This window comes from Homo sapiens, chromosome 10 (genome assembly GCF_000001405.40).
Source record: "Homo sapiens chromosome 10, GRCh38.p14 Primary Assembly".
Classification (NCBI taxonomy): domain Eukaryota; kingdom Metazoa; phylum Chordata; class Mammalia; order Primates; family Hominidae; genus Homo; species Homo sapiens.
Window position 1 is genome coordinate 109,040,168 of NC_000010.11, and position 7,921 is coordinate 109,048,088.

The window sequence follows — 7,921 nt, forward strand, 5'->3', positions numbered from 1 at the left end:
GTTACAAGTCTTATCATATATATTTAAACTCTTCACTCACTTTTGGGGGTTATAAGTATGTTATAATACTGATTGCACATATCTATGCATACACTAAAAGCCAATGAACTGTATACTTTAAATAGATGAATTATATGGTATATAAATTGTATCTTAATAAAGCTGCTAAAATGTTTAAATGTGCACTTGATTATATTATTCGCTATGTAAATCTTCTTAATGTCTTCTCAGTATATACAAAATAAAATTCAGACTCCTAATATATATACATTTATAAATGTGTGTGTATACACACACACCCATACACACATGCACACATGCCTATAAGTATACATAGAAGAATATATGAATTCAATGGTTTATAGAGCTAGGGCCTTCACCTTCTTCATGCATAGGTTCTTATGGTTCCTGAGAGGTGACAATGTGCTAGCAGCCCTCGCTCGCTCTCGGCACCTCCTGGGCCTTGGCATCCGCTCTGGCCACACTCGAAGAGACCTTCAGCCCACTGCTGTGCTATGAGGGTCCCTCTCTGGGTCTGGTCGAGGCCAGAGCCAGCTCTTTCTGCTCACAGGGAGGTGTGGAGGGAGAGGCACGGGCGGGAACCAGGTCTGCATGCAGCACTCGCAGGCCGGCGAGGGTTCCGGGTGGGCGCGGGCTCAGCAGTCCCGCACTCGGAACGGCCGGCCAGTGCCTGCTGGGCTTGACTGGGGGATGAGCTCCCTCTGGGCTGCCAGAGTGCCCAGGCTGGGTGCTGCAGAGTCCCGTAGTGAGTGCCAGTGAGAGGTGAAGCCGGCTGGGCTTCTGGGATGGGTGAGGACTTGGAGAACTTTTCTGTCTAGCTAAAGGATTTTAAACGCACCAATCAGCACTCTGTGTCTAGCTAAAGGTTTGTAAATGCACCAATCAGCACTCTGCCTAGCTAAAGGTTTGTAAATGCACCAATCAGTGTTCTGTGTCTAGCTTATCTAGTGGGAACTTGGAGAACTTTTGTGTCTAGCTAAAGCATTGTAAACGGACCAATCAGCTCTCTGTAAAATGGACCAATCAGCTCTCTGTAAAATGCTCCACTCAGCAAGATATGGGTGGGGTCAGATAAGGGAATCAAAGCAGGCTCCCTGAGCCAGCAGCGGCAACCTGCTCAGGTCCCCTTCCACACTATGGAAGCTTTGCTCGTTTGCTCTTCACAATAAATCTTGCTGCTGCTCACTCTTTGGGTCCGCACCACCTTTATGAGCTGTAACACTCACCGCGAAGGTCTGCAGCTTCATTCCTGAGGCCAGCGAGACCACAAACCCACCGGAAGGAACGAACAACTCCAGATGCGCCAACATTAGGAGCCATAACACTCACCTCGAAGGTCTGCAGCTTCACTCCTGAAGTCAGCGAGACCATGAACCCACCAGAAGGAAGAAACTCTGGACACATCTGAACATCTGAAGGGACAAACTCCGACACACCATCTTTAAGAACTGTAACACTCACCACGAGGGTCCGCGGCTTCATTCTTGAAGTCAGCAAGACCAAGAACCCACCAATTCCAGACATATTTTGGTGACCCAGATGGGACTATCGCCTATCACCAAGTGGTGAAACTATCACCTATCGGTGAGACTATCGCCTATCGCCAAGTGGTGAGTACCATCAGACCCATTTCACTTGCTATTCTATTTTTCCTTAGAATTCGGGGGCTAAATACCGGGCACCTGTCAGCCAGTTAAAAGCGAGTAGCGTGGCCACCGTACTAAAGACATGGGTGTCAGGCTTTCTGGGAAAGGGCTCTCTAACAACTCCCAACTCTTTGGAGTTGGGAGCATTGGTTTGCCTGGAACCAGCTTCCGCTTTTCCTGTACTTCTGGGCTGAGCCATGGGTCAACAGAGAGGAAAGCCATTCAGCTCTGGGGTCCTGACAACAAGTTGCTTGACCCTGCGGCCATGAGTGGAACTCTCAAAGACATGTCGCCCAAGTGAGACTCGCCCATCTATCCTATCTATCCTGACCCTTGCCTCCTGGGTCCTAATGCCTGTCAGACAAACTTCCTCTTTCCTTTCTCCTCCAAGGCTAGTCCCGCTTCTAAAAACCACTCCCTGTCTCTGGTGCTTTTCTAGTTTCTCCTGTAAGAATGATTTCTAGTATAAACTCCAGGACTCTGTTAACTTTTTTTGGCACCCGGGCTCACCAATCAGAAAGACATAATTTTTGCCCAAAGCCTCATCATAAGGGTGACTGTCTGGAATTTTAGACCCCTCCTCAAACTAGCAGGCCTAACAAAAGCTATTCCTGAAGCTAGGATACGGGGAGCCTCAGATATTGTATCCTTCCTATTCATATAAATGAGGACAAAAGGCATCACTCTTCCAACCCTGGAGATCCATTCCCTCCCTCAGGGTATGGCCCTCCACTTCAGTTTTGGGGAATAACATCTCTACAGGATGGGGTAAGGTCCCAGTAGTAACAGGAAAATGCTTAGGACTCTAACAGGTTTTCAAGAATGTGTCAGTAAGGGCCACTAAATCTGATTTTTCTCAGTCCTCTTTGTGGTCTAGGAGGACAGGTAAGGGTGCAGGTTTTCAAGAATGTGTCAGTAAAAGCCACTAAATCTGACCTTCCTTGGTCCTCCTTGTGGTCTGGGAGGAAAACTAGTGTTTCTGCTGCTGCATCAGTGAGCACGACTATTCCTACCAGCAGGGTCAAGGGACCGCTGCAGGTTCTTGGGCAGGGGTTGTTTCTGCTGCTGCATTGGTGAGTGCAACTATTCCAATCAGCAGGGTCCAGGGACCGTTGCAGGTTCCTGGGCAGGGGGAGAAACAAAACAAACCAAAACTGCAGGCAGTTTTGTCTTTCAGATGGGAAACACTCAGGCATCACGGGCTCAACCTTGAAATGCATCCTAAGCCATGGGGACCAATTTGATCTGCAAACCCTGAAAAAGAGGCAGCTCATTTTTTTCTGCACTATGGCCTGGCCCCAATATTCTCTCTCTGATGTGGAAAAATGGCCATCTGAGGGAAGTACAAATTACAATACTACCCTGCAGCTTGATCTTTTATGTAAGAGGGAAGGCAAATGGAGTGAAATACCTTATGTCCAAGCCTTCTTTTCATTGAAGGAGACTACACAACTATGCAAAGCTTGCAATTTACATCCCAAAGGAGGACCTTTCTGCTTACTCCCATATCCTAGCCTCCCTATAGCTCTGCTTCCTATTAATGATAATCCTCCTCTAATCTCCCCCACCCAAAGGAAATAAGCAAAGAAATCTCCAAAAGACCACAAAAACCCCCAGGCTATTGGTTATGTCCCCTTCAAGCTGTAGGGGGAGGGGAATTTGGCACAACCCAGTACACGTCCCCTTCTCCCTCTCTGATTTAAAGCAGATCAAGGCAGACCTGGGGAAGTTTTCAGATGATCCTGATGGGTACATACATGTGCTATAGGGTCTAGGGCAAACCTTCTGTCTCACTTGGAGAGATGTCATGCTATTGGTAGATCAAACCCTGGCCTTTAATGAAAAGAATGTGGCTTTAGCTGCAGCCCGAGAGTTTGGAGATACCTGGTATCTTAGTCAACTAAATGGTAGAATGACAGCCAAAGAAAGGGATAAATTCCCTACTGGTCAGCAAGCCATCTCCAGTATGGATCCCCACTGGGACCTTGATTCAGATCATGGGGACTGGAGTCATAAATGTCTGTTGACCTGTGTTCTAAAAGGACTAAAGAGAATTAGGAAAAAGCCCATGAATTATTCAATGATGTCCACCATAACTCAGGGAAAGGAAGAAAATCCTTCTGCCTTCCTTGAGCGGCTACAGGATGCCTTAAGAAAATACACTCCTCTGTCACCCAAATCACTTGAGTGTCAATTGATCCTAAAAGATAAGTTTATTACCCAATCAGCCACAGATATCAGGAGAAAGCTTCAAAAGCAAGCCCTGGGCCCTGAACAGAATTTGGAGGCATTATTAAACTTGGCAACCTCGGTGTTCTATAATAGGGACCAAGAGGAACAGGCCCAAAAGGAAAAGCGAGATCAGAGAAAGGCTGCAGCCTTAGTCATGGCCCTCAGACAAACAAACCTTGGTGGTTCAGAGAGGACAGAAAATGGAGCAGGCCAATCACCCAGTAGGGCTTGTTATCAGTGCAGTTTACAAGGACACTTTAAAAAAGATTGTCCAATGAGAAACAAGCTGCCCCCTCATCCATGTCCGCTATGCCGAGGCAATCACTGGAAGGTGCACTGCCCCAGAGGACAAAGGTTCTCCACCAGAAGACCCCAACCAGATGATCCAACAACAGGACTGACGGTGCCTGGGGCAAGCACCAGCTCATGTCACCACCCTCACTGAGCCCCGGGTACATTTAACCATTGAAGGTCAGGAAGTTGACTTCCTCCTGGACACTGGTGTGGTCTTCTCAGTGTTAATCTCCTGTCCTGGACTGTCCTCGAGGTCCATTACCATCTGAGGAATCCTGGGACAGCCTGTAACCAGGTATTTCTCCCACCTCCTCCATTGTAATTGGGAGACTTTGCCCTTTTCACATGACTTTCTTGTTATGCCTGAAAGTCCCACACCCTTATTAGGGAGGGATATACTAGCCAAGGCTGGAGCTATTATCTACATGAATATGGGGAACAATTTACCCATTTGTTGTCCCCTACTTGAGGAGGGAATCAACCCTGAAGTCTGGGCATTGGAAAGACAATTTGGAAGGGCAAAAAATGCCCACCCAGTCCAAGTCAGGCTAAAAGACCCCACCACTTTTCCTTATCAAAGGCAATATCCCTTAAGGCCTGAAGCTCATAAAGGATTACAGGATATTGTTAAACATTTGAAAGCTCAAGTCTTAGTAAGAAAATGCAGCAGTCCCTGCAACACCCCAATTCTAGAGTACAAAAACCGAATGGTCAGTGGAGACTAGTGCAAGATCTTAGACTCATCAATGAGGCAGAAATTCCTCTATATCCAGTTGTACCCAACCCCTATACCTTGCTTTCTCAAATACCAGAGGAAGCAGAATGGTTCACTGTTCTGGTCCTCAAGGATGCCTTCTTCTGTATTCCCCTGCAATCTGACTCCCAGTTTCTCTTTGTCTTTGAGAATCCCACAGACCACATGTCCCAACTTACATGGATGGTCTTGCCCCAAGGGTTTAGGGATAGCCCTCACCTGTTTGGTCAGGCATTGGCCCAAGATCTAGGCCACTTCTCAAGTCCAGGCACTCTGATCCTTCAGTATGTGGATGATTTACTTTTGGCTACTAGTTCAGAAGCCTCATACCAGCAGGCTACTCTAGATCTCTTGAACTTTCTAGCTAATCAAGGGTACAAAATGTCTAGGTCGAAGGCCCAGCTTTGCCTACAGCAGATCAAATATCTAGGCCTAATCTTATCCAGAGGGACCAGGGCCCTCAGCAAGGAATGAATAAAGCCTATAATGGCTTATCCTCACCCTAAGACATTAAAACAGTTGTGGAGGTTCCTTGGAATCACTGGCTTTTGCCAAATATGGATCTCTGGATACAGCGAGATAGCCAGGCCCCTCTATACTCTAATCAAGGAAACCCAGAGGGCAAATACTCATCTAGTAGAATGGGAACCAGAGGCAGAAACAGCCTTCAAAACCTTAAAGCAGGCCCTAGTATAAGCTCCAGCTTTAGGCCTTCCAAAAGGACAAAACTTCGTTTATACATCACAGAGAGAGCAGAGATAGCTCTTGGAGTCCTTACCCAGACTCGTGGGACAACCTCACAACCAGTGGCATACCTAAATAAGGAAATAGATGTAGTAGCAAAAGGCTGGCCTTACTGTTTGTCAGTAGTTTTCGTGGTGGCCATCTTAGTGTCAGAGGCTATCAAGAGAATACAAGGAAAGGATCTCACTGTCTGGACTACTCAGGATGTGGAGGGCATACTAGGTGCCAAAGGAAGTTTATGGCTATCAGACAACTGCCTACTTAGATACCAGGCACTTCTTGAGGGACTGGTGCTTCCAATATGTATGTGCGTGGCCCTCAACCCTGCCACTTTTCTCCCAGAGGTTGGGGAACCAATCGATCATGACTGCCAACAAATTATATTCCAGACTTATGCTGCCTGAGATGATCTCTTAGAAGTCCCCTTAGCTAATCCTGACCTTAATCTATATACCGATGGAAGTTCATTTGTGGAAAATGGGGTATGAAGGGAAGGTTATGCCATAGTTAGTGTTGTAATCATACTTGAAAGTAAGCCTCTTCCCCCAGGGACCAGCACCCAGTTAGCAGAACTAGTGGCACTTACCCGAGCCTTAGAACTGGGAAAGGGTAAAAGAGTAAATGTGTACACAGATAGCAAGTATGCTTATCTAATCCTACATGCCCATGCTGCAATATGGAAAGAAAGGGAGTTCCTAACCTCTGGGGGAACCCCCATTAAATACCACAAGGAAATTATGGAGTTATTGCACAATGCAAAAACCCAAGGAGGTGGCAGTCTTACACTGCCAAAGCCATCAAAAAGAGGAAGGAGAAGGGAAAACAGGAGCATAAGCAACTGGCAGAGGCAGCAGAAAGGAAAGAGAGAAAGAGACAGGAAGTCAGAGAAAGAGAGAGAGGAAGAAACAGAGACAAAGAGAAGGAGACAGAGCGACAGAAAGTCAAAGAAGGAAAGAGAGGAAAAGACAAAGAGGGAGTCAGAGACAAAGAGAGAGACAAAGAAGAAGTCAAAGAGAAAGAAAGAGAGATAAATAGTAAAGAAAAAACAGTGTACCCTATTCCTTTAAAAGCCAGGGTAAAGTTCTGTCTACCCAGCCAAGGTATATTCTTCTTATGTGGAATGTCAACCTATATCTGCCTCCCCACTAACTGGACTGGCATCTGCATCTTAGTCTAAGTCCCAACATTAACACTGCCCCAGGAAATCAGACCCTCTCAGTACCCCTCAAAGCTCAAGTCCGTCAGTGCAAAGCCACACAACCAATACCCCTACTTATAGGGTTAGGAATGGCTACTGCTACAGGAACTGGAATAGCCAGTTTATCTACTTCATTATCCTACTACCACACACTCTCAAAGGATTTCTCAGACAGTTTGCAAGAAATAACGAAATCTATCCTTACTCTACAATCCCAAATAGACTCTTTGGCAGCAGTGACTCTCCAAAACCGCCGAAGCCTAGACCTCCTCACTGCTGAGAAAGGAGGACTCTGCATCTTCTTAGGGAAAGAGTGTTGTTTTTACACTAACCAGTCAGGGATAGTGCGAGATGGCGCCTGGAATTTACAGGAAAAGGCTTCCGAAATCAGACAATGCCTTTCAAACTCTTATACCAACCTCTGGAGTTGGGCAACATGGCTTCTCCCCTTTCTAGTTCCCGGGGCAACCATCCTGCTATTACTCACCTTCAGGCCCTGTATTTCTAACCTCCTTGTCATATTTGTTTCCTCTAGAATTGAGGCCATCAAGCTAGAGATGGTCTTACAAATGGAGCCCCAAATGAGCTCAACTAACAACGTCTACCGAGGACACGTGGATTGACCCACTGGCCCTTTCACTGGCCTAAAGAGTTCCCCTCTGGAGGACACTACAACTGCAGGGCCCCTTCTTCACCCCTATCCAGCAGGAAGTAGCTAGAGCGGTCATCAGCCAAATTCCCAACAGCTGTTGGGGTGTCCTGTTTAGAGGGGGAATTGAGAGGTGACAACGTGCTAGCAGCCCTCACTCGCTCTCGGCGCCTCCTTGGCCTCAGCATCCACTCTGGCCACACTTGAGGAGCCCTTCAGCCTGCCACTGAGCTATGAGGGCCACTCTCTGGGGCTGGCTGAGGCCAAAGCCAGCTCCCTCTGCTCGTGGGGAGGTGTGGAGGGAGAGGTGTGGGTGGGAACTGGGGCTGCGCATGGCACTCGCAGGCCGGCACGGGTTCTGGGTGGGCACGGGCTTGGTGGGC

General features: G+C 47.3%; 1 annotated feature.

The window, feature by feature from the left end:
• Positions 815-2,014: an enhancer, noted in NCBI's record as "BRD4-independent group 4 enhancer chr10:110800740-110801939 (GRCh37/hg19 assembly coordinates)". NCBI's record gives its function as "activates an origin of replication core promoter dependent on BRD2, P300/CBP, MED14 and CDK7 cofactors, and independent of BRD4, by STARR-seq in HCT116 cells {active_cell/tissue: HCT116}" and the evidence as "EXISTENCE:reporter gene assay evidence [ECO:0000049][PMID:35650434]".